General features: G+C 48.5%; 1 protein-coding gene and 1 long non-coding RNA gene across 19 annotated transcripts, besides 3 other annotated features; one reads left to right on the top strand and one right to left on the bottom strand.

Moving 5' to 3' along the window:
• Positions 49-98: an enhancer, noted in NCBI's record as "active region_5618". NCBI's record gives its function as "activates an Ori minimal core promoter by ATAC-STARR-seq in GM12878 lymphoblastoid cells {active_cell/tissue: GM12878}" and the evidence as "EXISTENCE:reporter gene assay evidence [ECO:0000049][PMID:35858748]".
• On the bottom strand, positions 7,648-10,141 carry LOC124902769 (uncharacterized). Of its 3 annotated transcripts, none has more exons than XR_007062917.1 (2): positions 9,883-10,141; positions 7,648-8,357 (listed from the first exon to the last, which is right to left on the bottom strand). It is a non-coding gene; the product is annotated as an uncharacterized LOC124902769 (long non-coding RNA). The 3 variants fall into 3 exon arrangements; XR_007062916.1 differs by having other exon boundaries at positions 7,648-8,943; positions 9,883-10,113; XR_007062915.1 differs by having other exon boundaries at positions 7,648-8,947; positions 9,883-10,113.
• Positions 10,192-10,241: an enhancer, noted in NCBI's record as "active region_5619". NCBI's record gives its function as "activates an Ori minimal core promoter by ATAC-STARR-seq in GM12878 lymphoblastoid cells {active_cell/tissue: GM12878}" and the evidence as "EXISTENCE:reporter gene assay evidence [ECO:0000049][PMID:35858748]".
• Positions 10,204-24,358, top strand: VPS11 (VPS11 core subunit of CORVET and HOPS complexes). 16 transcript variants are annotated; one of them, NR_165452.1, is made up of 16 exons: positions 10,204-10,396; positions 11,582-11,730; positions 11,828-11,963; positions 12,620-12,783; positions 13,982-14,229; positions 15,584-15,926; positions 16,186-16,337; positions 19,283-19,469; positions 19,887-20,033; positions 20,264-20,452; positions 20,531-20,720; positions 20,951-21,090; positions 21,181-21,383; positions 21,515-21,686; positions 23,478-23,700; positions 23,845-24,358. NR_165452.1 is itself a non-coding variant. In NM_001290185.2 (16 exons), exons 1-16 carry the CDS (start codon positions 10,455-10,457, stop codon positions 24,007-24,009), a joined length of 2,796 nt encoding a protein of 931 aa, NP_001277114.1. In that variant the 5' UTR covers positions 10,204-10,454; the 3' UTR covers positions 24,010-24,358. The 16 variants fall into 16 exon arrangements, 7 of the variants coding, with proteins under 7 accessions (NP_001277114.1, NP_001365147.1, NP_001365148.1 ...); NR_165447.1 differs by having other exon boundaries at positions 20,559-20,720; XR_947859.3 differs by having other exon boundaries at positions 15,584-15,785; positions 20,559-20,720; positions 21,501-21,686.
• Positions 10,302-10,351: an enhancer, noted in NCBI's record as "active region_5620". NCBI's record gives its function as "activates an Ori minimal core promoter by ATAC-STARR-seq in GM12878 lymphoblastoid cells {active_cell/tissue: GM12878}" and the evidence as "EXISTENCE:reporter gene assay evidence [ECO:0000049][PMID:35858748]".

The following is a 25,883-nucleotide window of genomic DNA, read 5'->3' on the forward strand; positions in this document are numbered from 1 at the left end:
GGGGCGCTGGCCTGCCGGTTAGTATTGAGGTGCCCTAGGCTTTGGATAGACGTTGGAGAATGGCTGTCCCTCGGACTGAGTCCGTCGCAACCCCCTCTGTTTTACTGAGGAAACTGAAGCCACAGAAAAAGATGTTTGCTGATGGGTCAGAGATAACCGATGCATTCGTCGCAGAATCTGGCCAGGATTTCTTAGGTTAAGCCCCACTCATTTGTATAAGAAAGAATATTCCAAACTTAAGTACTACACACAAAAGACACTTTTATTTGTGAGGCTATAGTTGGTTGAGCTTGTGTGCACCTTCTCCTATTTCTGTTCTATTAAATCTTGTGAACATTTCTCTACTCTTTAGCTGTTTCTGTCATAGAATGACAGAAGCACCTCACTGCCTTCTCTTTTAACTTACAGCTCCATAGAAATGTGCGCAGTCGCCCGGGCGCGGTGGCTCACGCCTGTAATCCCAGCATTTTGGGAGGCCAAGGCGGGCGAATCACTGGAGGTCAGGAGTTCGAGACCAGCCTGGCCAACATGGTGAAACCCCGTCTCTACCAAAACTACAAAAATTAGCCAGGCGTGGTGGCGGGTGCCTGTAATCCCAGCTACTCACGAGGCTGAGGCAGGAGAATTGCTTGAATCCGGGAGGCAGAGGTTGCTGTGAGCCCAGACTGCGCCACTGCACTCCAGCCTGGGCGACAACAGCGAGACTCCTTCTCGAAAAAGAAATGTACGCAGTCCTTGGAGACTGCATTTTCCTTAAGTGTGGATGGAAATAAGTCATCTGTTTTCTCTCCTACTAAGTTGATGCCTGGCCACCCTTCACAGAAAGGCCCGCTTGAAGACCCTGGCTGTCAGGGCCAGGGTTGTGTCAAGCCTGAACTTGTTTAAGGAGCTCTTAGCTCTTCCTTTCTCTACATTTTTCGTGATGCTTAGGTGGAGAGTGGTCCGGTGTCTATGCTTAGAAGGAAAAATTATTGGCAGTCCCAGAGAGAGTCTATTCTTCCTTTTTTTTTTTTTTTTTTTTTTATTGATCATTCTTGGGTGTTTCTGGCAGAGGGGGATTTGGCAGGGTCATAGGACAATAGTGGAGGGAAGGTCAGCAGATAAACAAGTGAACAAAGGTCTCTGGCTTTCCTAGGCAGAGGACCCTGCGGCCTTCCGCAGTGTTTGTGTCCCTGGGTACTTGAGATTAGGGAGTGGTGATGACTCCTAACGAGCATGCTGCCTTCAAGCATCTGTTTAACAAAGCACATCTTGCACCGCCCTTAATCCATTTAACCCTGAGTGGACACAGCACATGTTTCAGAGAGCACAGGGTTGGGGGTAAGGTCATAGATCAACAGCATCCCAAGGCAGAAGAATTTTTCTTAGTACAGAACAAAATGAAGTCTCCCATGTCTACTTCTTTCCACACAGACACAGCAACAATCCGATCTCTATCTTTTCCCCACCTTTCCCCCTTTTCTATTCCACAAAACCACCATTGTCATCATGGCCCGTTCTCAATGAGCTGTTGGGTACACCTCCTAGACGGGGTGGTGGCCGGGCAGAGGGGCTCCTCACCTCCCAGAAGGGGCGGCCGGGCAGAGGCGCCCCCCACCTCCCGGACGGGGCGGCGGCCGGGCGGAGGCGCCCCCCCACCTCCCTCCCGGACGGGGCGGCTGGCCGTGCGGGGGCTGGCCCCCCACCTCCCTCCCGGACGGGGCGGCTGGCGGGGTGGCTACGGCGGGGCAGAGGCGCTCCCCACATCTCAGATGATGGGCGGCCGGGCAGAGACGCTCCTCACTTCTTAGACGGGATGGCGGCCGGGAAGAGGCGCTCCTCACTTCCCAGACTGGGCAGCCGGGCAGAGGGGCTCCTCACATCCCAGACGATGGGCAGCCAGGCAGAGACGCTCCTCACTTCCCAGACGGGGTGGCGGCCGGGCAGAGGCTGCAATCTCGGCACTTTGGGAGGCCAAGGCAGGCGGCTGGGAGGTGGAGGTTGTAGCTAGCCGAGATCACGCCACTGCACTCCAGCCTGGGCAACATTGAGCACTGAGTGAACGAGACTCCGTCTGCAATCCCGGCACCTCGGGAGGCCGAGGCTGGCGGATCACTCGCGGTTAGGAGCTGGAGACCAGCCCGGCCAACACAGCGAAACCCCGTCTCCACCAAAAAAACACAGGCGTGGCGGCGCGCGCCCGCAATCGCAGGCACTCGGCAGGCTGAGGCAGGAGAATCAGGCAGGGAGGTTGCAGTGAGCCGAGATGGCAGCAGTACAGTCTAGCTTCGGCTGGGCATCAGAGGGAGACCGTGGAAAGAGAGGGAGAGGGAGACCCTGGGGAAAGGGGGAGGGGGAGGGAGAGCTATTCTTCCTTTTAAGAGTAGTTATGTATTCAGGCAGTAGACAAATTGGTAGAAATAGAAATTCAGTTAAAATTTTAACAGAATTTAATTACACAAATAATACACAAATGTAATCTTTAAAAAATTCATTCTACACAAAGGCAAATTTCCTTGATGCCAACCCAAACCCCCACTCTCTCTTGTGGAGGCACCTGCTATTGTCAGTGTGGTGTATAAGTTTCCAGGTCTTTCCCTCTTTTACACATATAGATATCCTAGAAACATGTAGCTTTTATCTTTTCATAATATACATTTTTTATTTTTTGCAACCAACACCTTGTTTGCCTTTTATCTTTTTTAAAACCATAAAATGTTACACAATTACATTGTTTGCAATTTTTTTAAACTAATAATAAAGTGTGGAGCATTTTCCATGTAACTGTGGTTCATTTCCTCGTTTACTGCTGTAGAACATTCCATAGCATGGGGTTCGTTCTGCCATAATGATAGACATATACGCTGTCAGTTCAATTCCACAGGGAAAGATTTTGTTTCTCAGTAATAGACTCCACTTTTGGCCAACTATCCAGTAGAGTCTTTCCATCCATTTTTTATTTTTTTTTGCGACAGAGTCTGTGTCATCCAGGCTGGAGTGCAGTGGTGCAGTCTTGGCTCACTGCAACCTCCACCTCCCGGGCTCAAGCGATTCTCCTGGCTCAGCCTCCCAAGTAGCTGGGACTACAGGCACACACCACCATGCCTGGCTAATTTTTGTATTTTTAGTAGAGTCAGGGTTTCACCATGTTGGCCAGGCTGGTCTCGAACTCCTGACCTCAGGTGATCCGCCTGCCTCGGCCTCTCAAAGTGCTGGGATTACAGCGTGAGCCACCACGCCCAGCCTTTCCATCCATTTCAAACAGAGAGTATGCGTTTTAACATTTATTGGGCCACTCTGATATGCAAGCACTGGGCTAGGTGCTGCTAATCCAGAGATGGGCATGAGCTTGTCCTTACCCTCAAAGAAGTCATAATGTGTTGGGAAACTGGGAAACAAATATGTTCATCGTTTCATGCGCTTATTAAAAATCTATTTGGGGGGCCGGGCACAGTGGCTCACGCTTGTAATCCTAGCACTTTGGGAGGCCGAGGCAGGCAGATTGTCTGAGCTTAGGAGTTCAAGACCAGCCTGGGCAACATGGTGAAACCCCGTCTCTACTAAAATACAAAAAAATTAGCCCAATGTGGTGGTGCATGCCTGTAATCCCAGCTACTCAGGAGGCTGAGGCAGGAGAATTGCTTGAACCCAGGAGGCAGAGGCTGCAGTGAGCCGAGATTGTACCACTGTACTCCAGGCTGGGCGACAGAGTGAGACCCTGTCTCAAAAAAAAAAAAAAAAAGAAGAAGAAGAAGAAAGCTCTCGAAGCTCCTAAGAGAGCTCCAACCATGAATACCCCTGGTGGGAGCATGGTTCTGCCACAGCTACAGTTCTCAGCCTGGGTATCTGTCCCCCTGGGTAGTGAAGCAGGTGCAAGTGCTCTGAGGAGTCAGCTGTTTTGTTCTGGGACCAGAGGGTAGAATAGTATTTCACAAGAACAAGCTGAAGAACAATGGGAAATTTTTAATGTAAAACACCTGATTTAGATTGACCTAGGCAGGTGAACTCATTGGTTCTTCTCCAGAATAACTTGTTAACATTGGAGGACTATATCCCTTCCCCAACACTGCAGAAACCTAAGGGAAGAAAGTTGCCGTCTTGCAGAACATGTGCCAAACTGACAGAGGTGTAAAATAGACATATCGGTGAGGGTATATATGCACATAAACCATGCAAATTACATGATGGGCTGAGGGCAGTGTTGATCAGAGAGAATATCCTACACCAGAAGAATTTTTAAAAATTAGTTGTCGGCTGGGGGTGGCTCCCGCCTGTAATCCCTGCACTTTGGGAGGCTGAGGCAGGTGGATCATGAGGTCAGGAAATCAAGACCATCCTAACACGGTGAAACCCCATCTCCACTAAAAATACAAAAATTGGTGGTGGCATGTGCCTGTAGTCCCAGCTACTCAGGAGGCTGAGCCAGAAGAATTGCTTGAACCCAGGAGGTGGAGGTTGCAGTGAGCCGAGATCGCGCCACTGCACTCCAGTCTGGGCGACTGAGCCAGACTCCATCTCAAAAAAAAAAAAAAAAAAAAAAAATTGGCCCGGCGTGGTGGCACGCACCTGTAATCCTAGGTACTGGGGAGTCTGAGGCAGGAGAATTGCTTGAACCTGAGAGGTGGAGGTTGTAGTGCGCCAAGATTGTGCCACTGCACTCCAGCCTGGGTGACACAGTGAGACTCTGTCACAACAACAACAAAAAAAAGTAAACATATGTTCACCCAGAGGCTGTTGGTAATAGCTTTATTTATAACAGCCCCGGGCTGAAAACTATCCAAATGCTCATCAACAATTGGATAGATAAATGAATCAGAGATTCATACAGTGGAATTCTATACAGCAATAAGAATGAGTGGACTATTATTACATAGGACAACTTAGATGAATTCTACAAACATAATACTGAGTGAAAGAAGCCCAAGTACATACTGTATGATTTAAATATCAAGTTTAAAAGCTGGCAAAACTAAGCTACAGGGATAGAAGTCAGGATGCTGCTATCCTTTAGATACAGGGTCTTGCTCTGTTGCCCAAGCTGGAGGGTTTAGAAGAGGACATAAGGCAAGCTTCTAGGGGTGCTAGATATGTTCCCCCCACTCCTTTTTTTTTGAGAGAGAGTCTCACTCTGTCACCCAGGCTTGTGTGCAGTGGCACAATCTCAGCTCACTGCAACCTCTGCCTCTGGGGTTCAAGCCATTCTCCAGCCTCAGCCTCCCAAGTAGCTGGGACTGTAGGCGTGCAACACCATGCCCAGCTAATTTTTGTATTTAGTAGGGACAGGGTTTCACCATGTTGCCCACGCTGGTCTCGAACTCCTGACCTCAGGTGATCTGCCTGCTTCGGCCTCCCAAAATACTGGGATTACATGCCTGAGTCACTGTGCCTGGCTGCTAGCCATGTTCTCATTGCTGATTACGATGGGAGTGTCCAGTTAGTTTGTGGAATTTCAGTGGGTTGTACTACTCTACAACTTTTTTGTATGTTGTTACTTCAATAAAACATTTAAAAATTATTTTGTCTGTCATACAAACAACTCTAGGGTTTGTTGTTGTTGTTGTTTTGAGACAGGGTGCTCACTCTCTTGCCCAGGCTGGAGTGCAGTGGTGTGATCACAGCTCACTGCAGCCTCCATCTCCTGGGCTTAAGCAATTCTCCCTCCTCAGCCTCTCAAGTAGCTGGAACTACAGGTGCACATCACCACACCTGACTACTTATTTCTTTATTTATTTTTAGTAGAGACGAGGTCTGCCTATGTTGCCCAAGCTGGTCTTGAACTCCAGGCCTCAAGTAATCCTCCCACCTTGGCCCCCCAAAGTGCTGGATTATAGGCATAAGCCACCTTGCCTGGCCTCAAGAGACTCTAGGTTTGACTTTGCTGTAACCCTAGGCAGGAGAGAGCCCATTTTCAGCAGGAGATAAACCAAGATAAATTTTTTCCTACTTCTATAACAATATTTTTAGAATTACAAAAGAAATATGTGGCTAGGGCCAGGCACGGTGGCTCACAGTACTTTGGGAGGCCCAGGCGGGTGGGTCATTTGTGGTCAGGAGTTTGAGACCAGCCTGGACAACATGGTGAAACCCTGTCTCTAGTAAAAATACAAAAATTAACTGGGTGGTAGTGGTGTGTGCCTGTAATCCCAGATACTTGAGAGGCTGAGGCAGGAGAATCACTTGAACCTGGGAGGCAGAGGTTGGGGTGAGCTGAGATCGCGCCATTGCACTCCAGCCTGGGCGACAGAGTGAGACCCTGTCTCCCCGGCCCCCGCCTCCAAAAAAAAGAAAGAAATATGGTGGCTTACACTTGTAATCCTAGCACTTTGGAAGGCTGAGGCGTGTGGATTGCTTGAGCCTAGCAGTTTGTGACTAGCCTGGGCAACAGGGCAGAACACTGTCTCTACTAAAAGTACAACAACAACAAAATTAACTGGGCATGGTGGCATGAGCCTGTAGTCTCAGCTACTGGGGAGGCTGAGGTGGGAGTATCTCGTGAGCCTAGGAGGTGGAGACTGTGGTGAGCCGTGATTGTGCCACTGCACTCTAGCCGTGTCTCAAAAAACAAAACAAAACAAAAAAGAACGAAAGAAATATGCGGTTATTGACGAAAACTGGAAGAACATTAAAACAACAACAGGCCGGGCGTGGTGGCTCATGCCTGTAATCCTAGCACTTTGGGAGGCAGAGGCGAGTGGATCACTTGAGGCCAGGAGTTTGAGACCAACCGGGGAAACATGTCAAAACCATGTCTCTACAAAAAATACAAAAACTAGCCGGGCATGATGGCGTGCGCCTGTAGTCTCAGCTACTTGGGTGGCTGAGGCACAAGAATCGCTTGAACCTGGGAGACGAGACAGAGGTTGCAGTGAGTCGAGATCGTGCCACTGCACTCCAGCCTGGGCAATGGAGGGAGACTCTATCTCAAAAAGAAAAGAAGGTAGTTTCTACCTGGAGAGCCAGATGATAAAAACGGAAAATTAAAGTTTGCTGAGGCAACTACACAGGAGGCTGAGGCAGGAGAATCACTTGAACCTGGGAGGCGGACGTTGCAGTGAGCCGAGATCACGCCACTGCACTCAAGCCTGACGACTGGCGACAGAGCGAGACTCCGTCTCAAAAATAAAATAAAATAAGATAAAAATAAATTAAAGTTTGCATTTGGGACAAGAAGTGTTCCTGTTTTGTTCCAGTGGATGTAACTGTTTTATATCATGGGCAGCAGTTTGCTAAAGGGAAAAGAAAATACTGCAAGACAATTCTTGCATTCTTGATTCTGAGTTATGACCTCTCTAATTCGAAACTAAAGACTTGTATTTCTTCTTTATCTTTAGTCCATTCAGAACTCGAGTTCTCAGTATGCAGAACTAACTGTAAGTGAACAGTCATTTTCTGTGTAATTTGCTTGGTTATATTCCTCACTATCCTGAAATTCCTGGGTTCAGACCAGTGTAACTAAGAGACAAACCCTGGTGTATGTTCTGACAAGCATAATCTAGCTTTACACCCATCAAACTATCTAATTAGAGGGTAGGGGACTGAATTACTCATTTTATTTCCAAAGAACTTTGAAGTTTTTGCCCAGAGAGAGCCACTTTAAGTTAAACTCTTTGAGACTCCATTTCTCATCAGGGATAATGATACCTCTTCTGCAGATGGTTGCTACGAAGATTCCATGAAAAGCGAAGGCACTTTATTAGATATAATTTACTACATGAAATTAGGGGCTTGTTACTGTCAGTTCTTTTTATGCCTGTCTCTAGGGTGGTGGTTGAGGACCATGTCTTGTTCATTTATATTCTGGGCATTTGGTACAATTCCTGGACTAGGAGTGCTCAATACATATTTGTCAAAAGAAGGAAAGGAAAGAAGGTAGTAAGTCTGAAGAGGTGCTGTGGGTCTCTCTGGCAGGCCAATCTCGGCCTTTGTAACCCTCATCAATAAGAGGATCCAATGGGCACAAGTAGAACCAGATTCAGCCCTCAGAGGAAGACGTGGAGCTTCTGCCATTGGACAACAGGGGGAGCACCCAAGCAACAAAGATGCACTCTATCTCTTGTTCACATCTCTGCTTTTACATTTCTTCTTTTTTGAAGCCTGTTGCCCACGCTGGTCTTGAACTCCTGGCCTCAAGGGATCCTCCTGCCTCAGCCTCTTAAAGCGCTGGGATTACAAGCATGAGCCAGCTTGCCTGGCCACATTGCTTCTTTTAACATATATTCTTCATAGGCTTAACAACTGACATATTAACATACTATCTAAACATTCTGATGACCAGTATGGAATATGCTCAGTAGGTGAAAGTGGGTTCAACCCGCTCCCATTTGTGCTTCTGCCCAACAGTTGGTATCCTGAAACAGTTGCAATGAATTGGAGATATCCTGTGTGATGAAGAGGAAAGAAACTTGAGTTGGAAGTCAGGAAATCTGTGTGCATGGTGGTGGCTAGAGTTTCTTCCTATCATTTACCTCTTCAGACAAATGGACGCCACCTGCCCATCAACCAGATTGAGGAGAGGAGTGGATAAGAGGAGAGGCATCCACACCACATTCATTCCTTCAACCAAACATGGAACTTCTACCAGGCTCTGCTAGGCCTCGTTCACAGTTACGGTACAAGATGTAGCCCCCGCTCTCAGGGAACTCTGGCTGGTGGAAATACAGCATCAAATATTCTGAAATAAGTTGGGGGAGGGCCGGGTGCGGTGGCTCACGCCTGTAATTCCAGTACTTGGGAGGCCGAGGCGGGTGGATCACCCGAGGTCAGGAGTTCGAGACCAGCCTGGCCAAAATGGCAAAACCCCAACTCTACTAAAAATACAAAAATTAGCCAGGCGTGGTGGCAGGCAGCTGTAATCCCAGCTACTCAGGAGGCTGAGGCATAAGAATCGCTTGAACTCGGGAGGCGGAGGTTGCAGTCAGCTGAGATTGTGCCACTGCGCTTCAGCCTGGGGGATAGAGAGAGACTCTGTCTAAAAAAAAAAAAAAAAAAAAAGAAAAAAGAAAAAAAAGGAAGTTGGGGGAGTGCAAACAATAAACTTCACAAATACCACAGGGTCACTTTTCCATATGTCCCTACCATCTCAAAATGATGCTATGTCACTTCTGTCTATAGGTTCTCATGGCACACAAACAGTAAACCTGCAGTAGTTGTCCATGAGGATAGATCTTGCTTGGATTCAAAGATGGTTTAGCCAGAGTTGGGAGTGGAGAATGATCATGTAATATCTTGGACACCTGCCACTTCTCATTAAAACACTCAGCTCTCAAAGCTGCCACTTCCAGGTTTTTGCTCAGTTCTATGTCCCCTACCCTGCCACTATGAAAGGGGGAGAAAGCCCAGGGCCTTGGGAATTCCTGCCCCACCAGTATTTCCCAGTTTCCTTTTTTTTTTTTTGAGACAAGGTCTTGCTCTGTCGCCCATGCTGGAGTGCAGCGGCTCGATCACAGCTCACTGCAGCTTCCAACTCCGGGGCTCAATCGATCCTCCCACTTCAGCCTCCCAAGTAGCTGGGACCACAGGTGTCCACCACCATGCCAGGCTCATTTTTGTATTTTTTGTAGAGATGGGGTTTCACCATGTTGCCCAGGCTGGTCTCGAACACCTGGGCTCAAGTGATTCCCCCACCTCGGCCTCCCAAAGTGCTGGGATTACAGACAGGCATGAGCCATCGCGCCCAGCCCGTTTCCTTAAGAAACGTTTTGAGCGTCTGTTAGGTGTCATACGCTCTGACGGGGGAAACAAAAACGAATATAAAACATTGACTATGGTTCACAATCTGCGTGGTGGCAGACACAAACTTCTAATTTTATTTCTCCTCTCATACAGCCGAAAACCTGGTTTAACATACACTGTTTCATTTATGCCCCAAAACAGTCCTGTGAGGTCAAAACGTCATTCACTTACGCACGGCGGGTGACAGTTCACAAGGCACATGACATCCCTCATCTTGATCTCCCGGTATCCGCGCATTTTAGGAAGAAACATGCTCAAAGGGATGAAGGGTCCGCTCTCAAGCATTTTAGCTAGCGAAGTTACAGTCACATCCGGCAAACTCGCACACTGCAGATCTAGGACTACCCCGCGCGGCCCCGCCCACTTTCCCAGCAGCGGGACGCTGTCACCCCGACTCAGGAGCTCCTGGGCCCGCGGGCTCCCGGAAGCTGCCGACCACGTGATTCGCTGGCTCAGCTCACGTGACAAAGCTCCCGGAGGTGGGAGCCCTGGGCCAAAATGGCGGCCTACCTGCAGTGGCGGCGCTTCGTTTTCTTCGACAAGGAGCTGGTGAAGGAGCCGCTGAGCAATGATGGGGCCGCTCCCGGGGCCACACCTGCTTCTGGATCCGCTGCTTCCAAGTTCCTTTGCCTCCCTCCTGGCATCACTGTCTGCGACTCAGGCCGAGGGAGCCTGGTCTTTGGAGATATCCTTCGTTTGGAGCTGTCTTTTCCCTCCCGGGATCCCGAAGAGATCGAGTTAGGATGAAATCTGTTTGTCGGAGGGGTCCGTGCCGCGCGCCTCTTTGGTTTAGCTGGTCATCCAGAGTTGTTCTGTGGTCTACGGGAAGAAAGAAGGAAGTCCATCTCCTAACTTGTTATCAACTGAGCAATCCTGGGCAAGTCATTTAACCTCTCTGGGTTTTAATTTCCTTATCTGTAGGAGATGTGTGCATGCCAATTTGACGAGGTTAATTTGAGATCAATAAGAAAAAGAATGCAAGTTGGCTTTAAAAGATGAATATGTAAAGTGACATGATTTCCCCTGCCCTAATATTATCGTTGGCGAGGAGGTAAATGAGCCTAGCGGTTTGTTGCTTTCATCTTCATGTTGCTGCTACTAAATTCTGGCCTTTTTACCTTTTTTTTTTTTTTTTTTTTTTTGATACGGAGTCTTACTCTGTTGCCCAGGCTGGAGTGCAGTGGCGGGATCTGGGCTCACTGTAACCGTCTCTTGAGTTCAAGCGATTCTCCTGCCACAGCCTCCCGAGTAGCTGGGACTACAGGCGCTTGCCACCACACCCGGCTAATTTTTTACATTTTCAGTAGAGACGGGGTTTCACCATATTGGCCAGGCTGGTCTCGAACTCCTGACCTCGTGATCCACCCGCCTCGGCCTCCCAAAGTGCTGGGATTACAGGAGTGAGCCATCGCGCCCGGCGCACTAAATTTTTTTCTTTTTTTTGAGACGGACTTTCACTCTTGTTGCACAGGCTGGAGTGCAATGGCATGATCTGGGCACACTGCAACCTCCGCCTCCCGGGTTCAAGCAATTCTCCTGCCTCAACCTCCTGAGTAGCTGAAATTACAGGCACGCACCATTATACCTGGCTAATTTTTGTATTTTTAGTAGAGACAGGTTTCACCATGTTGGCCAGGCTGGTCTCGAACCCCTGACCTCAGGTGATCCGCACCCCCCCCCCCCCCCGGCCTCCCAAAGTGCTGGGATTACAGGTGTGAGTCACCGCGCCTGGCCTCACTCTTTTTAAGATAAGGAGTATGTGGGAAAATCCTTGAAAATTTTAGAGTTATATACATGTAATTGTTATCTGAGTTCTGGTCTGAATGTAAGTATCTCTCCTTGGAAAGGAGGCTCCTTGACTACCCTGCACATATGGAAGGCCAGATCTGGTTCTTGCCACGTTCCCTACAGCTTACAGGCTTCCAAGCCTACAAACTACGGGTGACACACCTGTACCAACTGAAGCAGCACAATATTCTGGCATCTGTTGGAGAAGATGAAGAGGGCATCAACCCCTTGGTGAGTCCCAGCAGGGAAATGGGAAAGATCCAGAAGCCTAGGAATGATTTTTTGTTGGAGGATGACTAGCATTTACACTTCTGAGGTCTGTCCACAGGTTAAGATCTGGAACCTGGAGAAGAGAGATGGTGGCAATCCACTCTGCACTCGAATCTTCCCTGCTATTCCAGGAACAGAGCCAACTGTTGTATCTTGTTTGACTGTCCATGAAAATCTCAACTTTATGGCCATTGGTAAACAGAAGGCAAAACTAACCCTCCTAGATTTGTTATAGATTTTCTTCAGAGTTGCTTCTGCCTCTCATCTTTACTGTTTTCAGGAGACCACTTTGTACTGAACTGAGGCCTTTGCGATATTAAATTTTGGAATGGGGGCCAGGCGCGGTGGCTCATGCCTGTAATCCCAGCACCTTGGGAGGCTGAGGTGGGCGGATCACCTGAGATTGGGAGTTTGAGATCAGCCTGACCAACATGGAGAAACCCCATCTCTACTAAAAATACAAAATTAGTTGGGTGTAGTGGCACATGCCTGTAATCCCAGCTACTAGGGAGGCTGCGGCAGGAAAATCACTTGAACCTGGGAGGCGGAGTTTGCAGTGAGCCAAGATCGCGCCATTGCACTGTAGCCTGGGCAACAAGAGCAAAACTCTGTCTCAAAATAAATAAATAAATAAATAAATAAATAAAATAAATAAAGTTTGGAATGGGAAGGCATTTAATTTTGTTCTTTGAAAATGTGTCAGTGAGTACCAATATTCAGGTTAACCATTAGAGAGGTTGGGTATATGGAGAAAGCTTGTCACTTCTGAGTGCCTCAAGTGGTCTTTTTTCCCCTCTCCACTTCCTGATCTTTTCAGCCTTACTGAAGTAATTTTCTTGTTTTCTTACAGGTTTCACAGATGGCAGTGTTACATTGAACAAAGGAGACATCACCCGGGACCGGCATAGCAAGACCCAGATTTTGCACAAGGGCAACTATCCTGTAACTGGATTGGCCTTTCGCCAAGCAGGAAAGACCACTCACTTGTTTGTTGTGACAACAGAGAACGTCCAGGTATGACCAAGGCCTCCACTCTTAGGAGCAGGCAGGGAGGGCTTCTCCATTGTTCAGGGGGATAGGGTAATGAAGTGACAGGAAAGGTGGGAGTGTTAAAGTTTTAATCATATAATTCGAATCATTTGCCTAGCTTTGTATTTTATTTTTTTGCCTAGGAAGCTGGAAAGAGTTAGACTCTGGGCTTGTAGTAAAAAGATGTGAATTTTCTTTCTTTTTTTTTTTTGAGACCGAGTCTCACTGTGTTGCTCAGGCTGGAGTGCAGTGGCGAGATCTTGACTCACTGTAACCTCAGTCTCCCAGGTTCAAGCAATTCTCCTGCCTCAGCCTCCTGAGTAGCTGGGATTACAGGCACACACCAGCATGTCCAGCTAATTTTTGTATTTTTAGTAGAGACAGGGTTTCACCATGTTGGCCAGTCTGGTCTCCAACTCCTGACCTCAGGTGATCCACCCACCTTGGCCTTCCAAAGTGCTGAGATTACAGGCGTGAGCCACCGCACTCGGCCTTGAATTTTATTTCTAACTAGCTTTTTTTTTTTTTTTCTTTGAGACAGGATCTTGCTGTGTAACCCAGGCTAGAGTGCAATGGTGCTGTCTCAGCTCACTGCAACCTCTGCCTCCTGGGCTCAAGTGATCCTCCCACCTCAGCCTCCTGAGTACGTGGGATTACAGGCATGTGTCACCATGCCTGGCTAATTTTTGTATTTTTTCTAGATATGGGGGTTTCACCATGTTGCCCAGGCTGATCTCGAACTCCTGGGCCCAAGCAATCCACCTGCCTCAACCACCCAAAGTGCTGGAATTACAGGCATGAGCCACTGCACCGGCCTATTTTCTAACTAACTTTTTAAATGACGTTGGACAAGTATCTTTACCTTTCTTGTTCCTGGTGCCCCAGATTTACAACAGTCTACTCTCTCAGGAATACTCTTGATAAAGTAGTAGATTATTACATTTTTCTTACTTGCAGAATTTCTGTACTAGATAGTGATAATATATACAGAGAAAGAAATTGTGATCTCTGGTTATATATTTAATAGATGGGTAATGGTTAATGAAGAAGGCCAGCAGCCAAGAGAAAGACTTTAGAATGCCAAGAGGGAAAAAAGAGCCAGTATGGAGATGGGAATACCTTTGTGAAGGCTTAGAGTTACCTCCTCAAAGGAGCCTGTTAACCCCTTTGTTGCTTCTGGCAGTCCTATATAGTTTCTGGAAAAGACTACCCTCGCGTGGAGTTGGACACCCATGGTTGTGGCCTGCGCTGCTCAGCCCTAAGTGACCCTTCTCAGGACCTGCAGTTCATTGTGGCCGGGGATGAGTGTGTCTACTTGTACCAGCCTGATGAACGTGGGCCCTGCTTCGCCTTTGAGGGCCATAAGCTCATTGCCCACTGGTTTAGAGGCTACCTTATCATTGTCTCCCGTGACCGGAAGGTTTCTCCCAAGTAAGGACTCAGTGAGAAGGGACAGGGAGAGGGCTGGACTTGTTCCCCAGAATCCGCCTGATTTTAAAATCCTAATGCCTGGATACTGCCAATCTCCTACTCCTACTCCGGTGTTATGTAGGTAACATTTCTGTTTTTTTTTTTTGAGATGGAGTCTCGCTCTGTCACCCAGGAGTGCAGTGGCGTGATCTCGGCTCACTGCAGCCTCGCCTCCTGGGTTCCAGTGATACTCCTGCCTCAGCCTCCTGAATAGCTGGGATTACAGGCATGTGCCACCACGCCTGGCTACTTTTTGTATTTTCAGTAGAGACGAGGTTTCACCATGTTGGCCAGGCTGGTGTCAGACTCCTGACCTCAAGTGATCTACCCGCCTCGGCCTCCCAAAGTACTGGGATTACAGGTGTGAGCCACTGCACCCAGCCAGTGACACTTATAGCTAGAGTTGGTTACAATGCTTTTTTTAACTGAAAAATGGATGTTTTTACTGCAGGTATTTGCTACATAGCCCTAGCATACTAGAATGCTCCAGGGAATTTGGACCTGCTTTTTTTGTTCTGTTTTGTTTGAGATGGAGTCTCGCTCTATTGCCCAGGCTGGAGTGCAGTGGCGCGATCTCGGCTCACTGCAAGCTCCGCCTCCCGGGTTCACGCCATTCTCCTGCCTCAGCCTCCCGAGCAACTGGGACTACAGGTGCCCGCCCCCATGCCCGGCTAATTTTTTGTATTTTTATTAGAGACGGGGTTTCACCGTGTTAGCCAGGATGGTCTCGATCTCCTGACCTCGTGATCTGCCTGCCTCGTCCTCCCAAAGTGCTGGGATTACAGGCGTGAGCCACTGCGCCCGGCCTTGTTTTGTTTTTTAACTCTTTTGTCAAAATAAATTGGGCAGAGGAACAAGGGATTCAGCAGTGGAGAAATTAGAAAGTGCTGGGAAACGTAGGATGCAAGTTTTCTGTTTTGTTTTGGTTTTATTTTTTTAAGGGGTAAGTGGGGTCTTCTGCATGATGAAAGTACTCCCTGTTAGATGCTGGTTTGTTTTGCTTTCATTCAGTTCCAGGCACAGTGTTTTACATATACCATGTATTGGATTATTATTTTCTAAATGAATGGATATGTTAGTGTACTTAATTTTCTAATCTGTTACTTGGGTTAATTGTAGGATCCTAAAGGGTAAGATCAGGTTTATGTGTTCTCTATGTACAACTACCGGCACAGCGCTGCATGTTATGGGATGAGAGGGACCAGAGAGGTGATTTGTGCTGGGTGAAATGTGCACCAAAGTTATCATGGGAAAGGAAATAGGGGAGATAAGACAGAGATGTCCAAACATCTGGTGCTTTTTCTTTCCTATGCAGGTCAGAGTTTACCAGCAGGGATTCACAGAGCTCCGACAAGCAGATTCTAAACATCTATGACCTGTGCAACAAGTTCATAGCCTATAGCACCGTCTTTGAGGATGTAGTGGATGTGCTTGCTGAGTGGGGCTCCCTGTACGTGCTGACGCGGGATGGGCGGGTCCACGCACTGCAGGAGAAGGACACACAGACCAAACTGGAGGCAAGGCCACCAGGCTCGCAGAGCTGGCCACAGGCACCTAGAAGCAGCTGCAGGAGCAGGTTCCCCAAGTCATATTGGCCAGGGTGTTTCCCTCCTTGTGGGTCACAGCCTTACTCAGCTTCCTTAGGGTAGGATTATAAGGTAAATGGCCTGGGATGGGGCTTTAGAGGGAAGTAGTGGCTGGGAGCCTGAGCCCACTCTAAGGGTTCACTTTGTTTCCAGAGAACCTTATGAAATAAGATGATACTGATCTTGGGGATATCTGGTAGCTCTTGGTTTGTCTAGGATCTAGGCAGATCAGAAATCCAGGACTTTCTGTTTTGTGTGTTGTGCGCACATTTTGGGAAAGTGTCTTCCCAGGACCACTTCTACCAATTTTCTAATCTCTCTTCCCTTCTAGATGCTGTTTAAGAAGAACCTATTTGAGATGGCGATTAACCTTGCCAAGAGCCAGCATCTGGACAGTGATGGGCTGGCCCAGATTTTCATGCAGTATGGAGACCATCTCTACAGCAAGGGCAACCACGATGGGGCTGTCCAGCAATATATCCGGTCAGTCTGGAGGCACTTTGGGATATAGCTGTGAATGCAGGGACAGGCAGCTAGATAGCTAAAGCCCATCCATGCTCCAGGTAGGGGCTAGAATTCTACCAGGAACTGTTTTTGTTTTTGGTTTTTTGTTTGTTTTTGTTAGTTTTTTTTTGAGATGGAGTTTCGCTCTTGTTGTCCAAGCTGGAGTGCAATGGCGCGATCTCGACTTACTGCAACCTTCCCTCCTGGGTTCACATGATTCTCCTGCTTCAGTCTCCCGAGTAGCTGGGATTACAGGCGCGTGCCACCACACCTGGCTAATTTTTTGTATTTTTAGTAGAAACGGGGTTTCACCATGTTAGCCAGGCTGGTCATGAACTCCTGACCTCAGGTGATCTGCCCGCTTCAGCCTCCCAAAGTGCTGGGATTACAGGCATGAGCCACTGCGCCCGGTGTTTTTTTCTTTGCTTTTTTTGTTTGTTTGTTTGTTTTTGAGACAGATTCTCGCTCTTTCACCCAGGCTGGAGTGCAATGGTGTGATCTCGGCTCACTGCAACCTCTGCCTCGGGTTCAAGCAATTCTCCTGTCTCAGCCTCCCAAGTAGCTGGGATTACAGGATCATGCTGCCATGCCTGGCTAATTTTTTGTATTTTTAGTAGAGACGGGGTTTCACCACGTTCTCTAGGCTGGTCTCGAACTCCTGAGCTCAGGCAATCTGCCTGCCTCGGCCTCCCAAAGTGTTAGGATTACAGGTGTGAGCCACAGTGCCTGGCCTTTTTAATTTTCTTTATAAGAACTATGATGCCTTAAATGAGAGAACAAGATTCCTTGTTGAAAAGGGAATTTTAGGGTCAAATATTATATGACCAGTATGCAGTTGAGCCGATGATTACCTCTCATTTTAACCTTTAGCTTGGCCTTTGTAAATATTCACTTTGACCTGGTTCTTTAAGGGGGAAAAGGTATTCATCTCTTGCTTCCATAATTCCTTCCATCAGTACTAATTCTTGGAATTTTCTGCCTTAAGAAGGGGTTTTAGAAATCTGTCTAAGGTGGCCGGGCGCGGTAGCTCACGCATGTAATCCCAGCACTTTGGGAGGCTGAGGCGGGTGGATCACGAGGTCAGGAGATCGAGACCATCCTGGCTAACACGGTGAAACCCCGTCTCTACTAAAAAATACAAAAAATTAGCTGGGTGTCGTGGCGGGCGCCTGTAGTCCCAGCTACTTGGGAGGCTGAGGCAGGAGAATGGCCTGAACCCCAGAGGCGGAGCTTGCAGTGAGCCGAGATCGCACCACTGCACTCCAGCCTGGGTATCAGAGCAGGACTGTCTCAAAAAAAAAAAGTTTGTCTAAGGCTGGGGTGCAGTGGCATGTGCCTGTGATCCTATCCCTTTGGGAGACCGAGGTGGGAGGAATGCATGAGCCCAGTCTGAGCAACATAGCAAGACCCCATTTCTAACAATAAATAAATAAATAAAATTTAAAAATATGGCTGGGCGCCGTGGCTCATTCCTGTAATCCCAGCACTTTGGGAGGCCAAGGCGGGTGGATCACTTGAGGTTAGGAGTTTGAGACCAGCCTGGCCAACATGGTGAAACCCTGTCTCCACTAAAAAAAAAAAAAAAAAAAAAATACAAGGCCAGGCGTGGTGGCTCACGCCTGTAATCTCAGCACTTTGGGAGGCTGAGGCAGGTGGATCACCTGAGGTCAAGAGTTCAAGACCAGCCTGGCCAACATGGCGAAACCCCATCTCTACTAAAAATACAAAAATTAGCTGGGCATGGTGGCGGGCGCCTGTAATCCCATCTTAAAAAAAAAAATTAGCTGGGTGTGGTGGCATATGCCTGTAATCCCAGCCACTCGCAAAGCTGAGGCAGGAGATTCACTTGAACCTGGGAAGCAGAGGCTATAGTGAGCCAAGATCGTGCCACTGCACTCCAGCCTGGGCAACAGAGCAAGACTCTATCAAAAAAATAATAGTAGATAATAATAATAATAATAAATAAATAAATTGCCAGGGGGCAGTGACTCACGCCTGTAATCCAAACACTTTGGGAGGCTGAGGTGGGCGGATCACGAGGTCAAGAGATTGAGACCATCCTGGCCAACATGGTGAAACCCCGTTTCTACTAAAAATACAAAAATTAGCTGGGTGTGGTGGCATGCACCTGTAGTCCCAGCTACTCGGGAGGCTGAGGCAGGAGAATAGCTTGAACCCAGGAGGCGGAGGTTGCAGTGAGCCAAGATCGTGCCCTGCACTCCAGCCTGGCGAAATAGCGAAACTTCGTCTCAAAAAAATAATAATAAAAAAAGGCCGGGTGTGGTGGCTCACACCTGTAATCCCAGCACTTTGGGAGGCTGAGGTGAGTGGATCACCTGAGGTCGGGAGTTCGAAACTAGCCTGACCAACATGGAGAAACCCTGCCTCTACTAAAAATACAAAACTAGCTGGGCATGGTGGCACATGCCTGTAATCCCAGCTACTCAGGAGGCTGAGGCAGAAGAATCGCTTGATCCTGGGAGGCAGAGGTTGCGGTGGGCTGAGATCGTGCCACTGCACTCCAGCCTGGGCAACAGGAGCGAACCTCCCTCTCAAAAAAAAAAAAATTAATTAAATTTTAAAATAATGTAAAAGAAAGAGAACAAAAATACAACAATAAAACAACAACAAAATAGTAATAATATAAAAAGAAACCTGTTTGGCCTCTTCCCCGTTCTCTTTAGAATTCCTATTTTTAGCCAAATTTAAGAAGCAGTGCTCTGGAGCCTTGTTACCCAGTGTGGTCCACAGTCTAGTAGCACCGATATTACCTGGGACTTTGTTAGAAATGTAGAATCTCAGGCCCCACTCCAGATCCACTGAAATAGAATTTGCATTTTGAGAAGATCTGCAAGTGATTCCTGTGTACATGAGCTGGAGAAGTACACTGATTCAGATGCTATCGGGTGCACATGTCTCCCTAGAACCATTGGAAAGTTGGAGCCATCCTACGTGATCCGCAAGTTTCTGGATGCCCAGCGCATTCACAACCTGACTGCCTACCTGCAGACCCTGCACCGACAATCCCTGGCCAATGCCGACCATACCACCCTGCTCCTCAACTGCTATACCAAGCTCAAGGACAGCTCGAAGCTGGAGGAGTTCATCAAGGTGCAGGATGTTGTTGGTGGGGAAGTCTTGGAGGCCCCACTGAGCATGAGGTGGCTCCACCGGGACTTGTTCGTTTCAGCAAGACATAGGGAGAGGAAAGGGCTGACCTTATTTAGAGGAGTGGCTGTTCCTGTTAGTTCGGTGCCATCTCCCCTCTTGTTTTATGATTCTAGAAATTCCCATGGTATCTAAGCCCAGGGTGGTGGCACTGGGGAAGTCCTGTCCCTAGCGGTGTCCCTCTAATGGTAGGGGCAGAGGAAAACTTTAGTCAGAAACTCCCACAGGCTGAGTAGCATAATATTTTCAAAGTGTGAACGTTATGATATCACCTTAGGAATCTGAAAGTCAGGTGCCTGTTTCCTCTCCCTTCTCTATCTCCCTCTGTGTAAATGATTTTGTCTCATGTCTCCCTGGCAGAAAAAGAGTGAGAGTGAAGTCCACTTTGATGTGGAGACAGCCATCAAGGTCCTCCGGCAGGCTGGCTACTACTCCCATGCCCTGTATCTGGCGGAGAACCATGCACATCATGAGTGGTACCTGAAGATCCAGCTAGAAGACATTAAGGTAGGTGAGACTGTCTTTTTTCCCCAAGAGACAGGGTCTCACTATGTTGCCCAGGCTGGAGTTGAATTCCTGGGCTCAGGTGATCCTCCCACCCCATCCTCCTGAGTGGAGGTGAGACTCTCAACTTGGGCAGAGCCCTGTCGTTTTTGAAGACATCTCCAGAATGGTGAAAGTGCTTCCTGGTGGCTGAGGCAGGAGTATACACTATTCTGCCCTTTACTTTTCCACAGAATTATCAGGAAGCCCTTCGATACATCGGCAAGCTGCCTTTTGAGCAGGCAGAGAGCAACATGAAGCGCTACGGCAAGATCCTCATGCACCACATACCAGAGCAGACAACTCAGTTGCTGAAGGGACTTTGTACTGATTATCGGCCCAGCCTCGAAGGCCGCAGCGATAGGGAGGCCCCAGGCTGCAGGGTGAGGCTGCAGGGAAAAGAGCTTCAGACTGTGGGGATCACCTTAAGGGCTTCCTGTATATCACGCCCACTCATTCAGCCTCCTTTTTCCTCTCTTGCCATCCTAGGCCAACTCTGAGGAGTTCATCCCCATCTTTGCCAATAACCCGCGAGAGCTGAAAGCCTTCCTAGAGCACATGAGTGAAGTGCAGCCAGACTCACCCCAGGGGATCTACGACACACTCCTTGAGCTGCGACTGCAGAACTGGGCCCACGAGAAGGATCCACAGGTGAGGCCTGGCCAGGGCTTCAGGAGAAAAGACAGTTCGTGCCGTCTCCATTCTTCCGTCTTGGTGGCTGCCTTTCACTGCATTCCTTAGACCAGTAACACCTTACCTCGGGGCTCAATGGTCCTCTGTGAAGAGGGAATGGACTGAGGGAAAGAGTTGACTGGCTTTGTCCCAAGAGACCTTGTGATTTTCCCCTTTTGTCCAGCAGCTCTGCCCTCCTTCCTCTCCAGGTCAAAGAGAAGCTTCACGCAGAGGCCATTTCCCTGCTGAAGAGTGGTCGCTTCTGCGACGTCTTTGACAAGGCCCTGGTCCTGTGCCAGATGCACGACTTCCAGGATGGTGTCCTTTACCTTTATGAGCAGGGGAAGCTGTAAGAGTTTGGGGAATTTCAGGGAAAGGGGAAGAATCCAAGTCATTTTCCAGAGACAGCCACTGAGGTGTGCCCTTGCCCCGGCCGCAGGTTCCAGCAGATCATGCACTACCACATGCAGCACGAGCAGTACCGGCAGGTCATCAGCGTGTGTGAGCGCCATGGGGAGCAGGACCCCTCCTTGTGGGAGCAGGCCCTCAGCTACTTCGCTCGCAAGGAGGAGGACTGCAAGGAGTATGTGGCAGCTGTCCTCAAGCATATCGAGAACAAGAACCTCATGCCACCTCTTCTAGGTACTTGGGAAGACAGATGGGTGGGTGACAAGCTGCTGACAGCTGGGCTCTGTGGCAGGGGCCCTTCACCTTTATCCAGAGAGTGCCACACGTGGTTGATTGTCTTGTTTCCTCTTGGACCCCAATCTCAGTGGTGCAGACCCTGGCCCACAACTCCACAGCCACACTCTCCGTCATCAGGGACTACCTGGTCCAAAAACTACAGAAACAGAGCCAGCAGATTGCACAGGATGAGCTGCGGGTGCGGCGGTACCGAGAGGAGACCACCCGTATCCGCCAGGAGATCCAAGAGCTCAAGGCCAGGTACCCGGGGCATGGATATGTGGAGGAGTCCAGGGGATAACTTGCCCTTCACAGGGTATTCATTACTAAGTACTTTCCGTAGAGGATACTATGGAGTGCTTTTGAGCATTTTGATTCTTCAAGTTGTGTTTTAATTGAGGAATTCCAAAAAATGGTTTATTACATAGATCATTATTTATTGGGCTTTGGATGATATTATTTTGTAGCAGGTACTTTTTGTTCTTTATATGCCTGTATTCTACCACTTCTAAACACATCCGTATTGTGGTTGGAAGCCGTTCTGGTGTTTTTCTTTTTTGAGACAGGATCTTGTCACTGAGGCTGGAGTGGAGGGGTGTGATCACGGCTCACTGCAGCTTTGATCTCCTGGGCTCAAGTGATTCTCCCGCCTCAGCCTCCCAAGTAGCTGGGATTACAGGCGTGTGCCACCAAGCCCAGCTAATTTTTGGATTTTTAGTAGAGATGGGGTTTATAATGTTGGCCAGGCTGGTCTCGAACTCCTGGCCTCAAGTGATCCTCCGGCCTTGACCTCCCAAAGTGCTGGGATGAGCCACGGTGCCCGGCCATAATCCCAACTCTGAAATCTTACCTGCCCTTAACATTCTGTAAAATATTTATTAGAGAACAACAGTTTCTTCATTCTACAAATATTGAGCCTCTGTGGTGTCCCAGACACTATTCTGAACAGCACAGGCAAAAAGCCTTCATGGAGCTTTATGTTGTAGAAGAGACAGACAGCAAACATGTTAAATAGGCAAACTTTTTTTTTTTCTTTTGAGATAGAGTCTCACTCTGTCACCCAGGCTAGAGTGCAGTGGCGCGATCTCAGCTCACAGCAACCTTTACCTCCTGGGTTCAAGCGATTCTCCTGCCTCAGCCTCCTGAGTAGATGGAATTACAGGCGCCTGCCACCATGCCTGGCTAATTTTTGTATTTTTGTAGAGACAGGGTTTCACTATGTTGGCCAGGCTGGTCTTGAACTCCTGACTTCAGGGGATCTGCCTGCCTTGGCCTCCCAAAGTGCTGGGATTACATGCGTGAGCCACTGCACCCGGCCAAATAGGCAAATTTTTTTTTTCTTTTTTGAGACGAAGTCTCGCTCTTGTCCCCCACGCTGGAGTGTGATGGCGCAATCTCGGCTCACTGCAACCTCTGCCTCCTGGGTTCAAGCGATTCTCCTGCCTTGGCCCCCTGAGTACCTGGGATTACAGGTGCCTGCCATCATGCCTGGCTAATCTTTATATTTTTAGTAGAGACTGGGTTTCACCATATTGGCCAGGCTGGTCTAGAACTCCTGACGTCAGGTGATCCACCTGCCTCGGCCTCCCAAAGTGCTGGGATTACAGGTGTGAGCCACTGTGCCCAGCCAAATAGACAAAGTTTTGTAGTATGTTAGGTGGTGATAAGTTCTGAGTGGCAAATGAATTGAGCAAGGGGAGTGGGAGAAGTGTGTTAACAAGTTTAGAGAAGGTGGCCCAGGAAAGGCCTCAGTGAAAGGGTCACATCTGAGTACAGACCTGAAAGTTAATTTAGTGGCAGTTGTGAAAATGGAGACAGAGGAAACAATCCCCAGGCTGAGTTGGCCTTGTTGGGAGCATGCTGAGACTCACTGCAGGTCCAGGGCTGTTGTATTCATTTGACTCCCTTAAGGCGATAAGAAGAGCAGGGCAGGGCCTTCAGGGGCCTTACCAGGGACCTTGCCCTGTGCACTTCAGCTGCCTTCTTTCTCATCCTTGACTCCTGGCCTTGCCCTCACTTTTGCCACTCACTTCTGGTCTTTCTTCCCTGTAGTCCTAAGATTTTCCAAAAGACCAAGTGCAGCATCTGTAACAGTGCCTTGGAGTTGCCCTCAGTCCACTTCCTGTGTGGCCACTCCTTCCACCAACACTGCTTTGAGAGTTACTCGGAAAGTGATGCTGACTGCCCCACCTGCCTCCCTGAAAACCGGAAGGTCATGGATATGATCCGGGCCCAGGAACAGAAACGAGATCTCCATGATCAATTCCAGCATCAGGTGGGGATGAGTGGGCTAGATGGGCCAGGGGATTCCCACTAGTGTCACAGAGTCACTGGAGGGCTTGTTTCCTTATCACCTCCTCATTTAAGAAACAAGCACTTTGATTCTGATTCGTATTCCTTCCCTCCTCTTCTCCTGCAGCTCAAGTGCTCCAATGACAGCTTTTCTGTGATTGCTGACTACTTTGGCAGAGGTGTTTTCAACAAATTGACTCTGCTGACCGACCCTCCCACAGCCAGACTGACCTCCAGCCTGGAGGCTGGGCTGCAACGCGACCTACTCATGCACTCCAGGAGGGGCACTTAAGCAGCCTGGAGGAAGATGTGGGCAACAGTGGAGGACCAAGAGAACAGACACAATGGGACCTGGGCGGGCGTTACACAGAAGGCTGGCTGACATGCCCAGGGCTCCACTCTCATCTAATGTCACAGCCCTCAGAACTAAAGCGGACTTTCTTTCCCTGCCTTCTTATTTAGTCAGCTTGCCATCCCTCCTCTTCACTAGCAGTGTAGATCATTCCAGATCAGTGGGGGAGGGCACCTCAGCAACCTCTGAGTGTGGACAATAGCTGCTTTCTTCTCTATCCAAGAGCACCAGGCTGTGCTTGGGTCCTTGCTCTCAGAGTCTATAAATAAAAGAATATAATGATTTGGGAGCTTAAGGATTTTTTTCTGGGGACTTCCTGGTGATTCTTAACTGCATGATGGACTTCCTTCCCTCTGCTCTCCTGGCGTTCCACTTCCCTCCTACGGTTTTCTTGGAGACCATGTTGACTCAGTCTCGTTCTGGTAATGGGTGGGGCCTGTGGCATCGCATACAGTTCAATTTACTGAAGAACCTCTGCAAAAGACCTAATGACTGAGCTCCAGGAGCAGCCTGGACCAAGACCCCCAAAACAGCTCTTACTCTTTCCTCTTCCTGGTCTCTATGGCTGTAGTTTGGGCAAAATATTCAAGCAGGAGGCAGATTCTGGTAGGGAGCTTTGGGCTTAACCTACCTTAAATAATGGGTAGGTTGGTGTCTTGCTATACTTAATACCAGATGATAAACGGGATAAAAGGTCCTTTCTGGAAACACCTTTCCCTCTCTGAAATTGTCAGCTAAAGTTTATGTTGCTAGGTGTCCCCGTGTAATTTGGGTGGTGCTGCCTGTCTGAAAATTGCTCCTATGTTGTCGTTTTCCCCACAGCCTCACCTAATTTCATCTTCTACGTTGTTTAATTGGAGGACGTAAGTTTGACACTGTGGTTTAGGTAGTATTTAGGATTGCCATGGGCTGGGCGCGGTGGTTCATGCCTGTAATCCCAACACTTTGCGGGGCTGAGGTGAGAGGATCGCTTGAGTCCAGGAGTTCAAGACCAGCCACCCAGGCAACATAGTGAGACCCCGTCTGTGCAAGAAATAAAAATAAACTAGCCCAGCCTGGTGGCGCTTGCCTGTGGTCCCAGCTACTCAGGAGGCTGAGGTGGGAGGATTGCTTGAGCCCAGGAAGTTGAGGCTGCAGTGAGCCTTGATCACACCACTGCACTCCAGCCTGGGTGACAGACACCCTGTCTCAAAAAGTAAAAAATTAAAAAACAGTGGCAGTATTGTAGCTGCTATGCTATGAGTAGACTTTGCATCTACTGAGCTGGGTTTGAATCCTAGTTGTGCTGTTTGACTTAAGGCACATCTTACCTTCTCAACATGTTTTTTTTTTTTTTTTGAGATGTATTTTTTTCAGTGGGTTTTTGGGGAACAGTTGGTATTTGGCTATGTGAATAAGTTCTTTAGTAGTGATTTCTGAGATTTGGTGCCCATCACCCAAGCAGTGTACACTGTACCCAATGTGTAGTCTCTTATCCCTCACCCTGCTCCCACCCTTTCCCCCTCAACCTGTGTCTTCATCTGTACGTTAGGGATTATAACACCTATGCTGTGTGGCTATTATGAAAGCCTAAGGATCAAATAGGTGTTCAGTTCTTTGTACAGTGCTGAGCACATGGGTGATTTTTTTTTTCTTCTTAAGACAGGGTCTCACCGGGCGCGGTGGCTCATGCTTGTATTCCCAGCACTCTGGGAGGCTGAGGTGGGCGGATCACCTGAGGTCAGGAGTTCAAGACCAGCCTGACCAACATGGTGAAACTCCGTCTCTACTAAAAATACAAAAACCAGCTGGGTGTGGTGGGAGGTGCCTGTAAT

This window comes from Homo sapiens, chromosome 11 (assembly GCF_000001405.40).
Source record: "Homo sapiens chromosome 11, GRCh38.p14 Primary Assembly".
Lineage (NCBI taxonomy): Eukaryota > Metazoa > Chordata > Mammalia > Primates > Hominidae > Homo > Homo sapiens.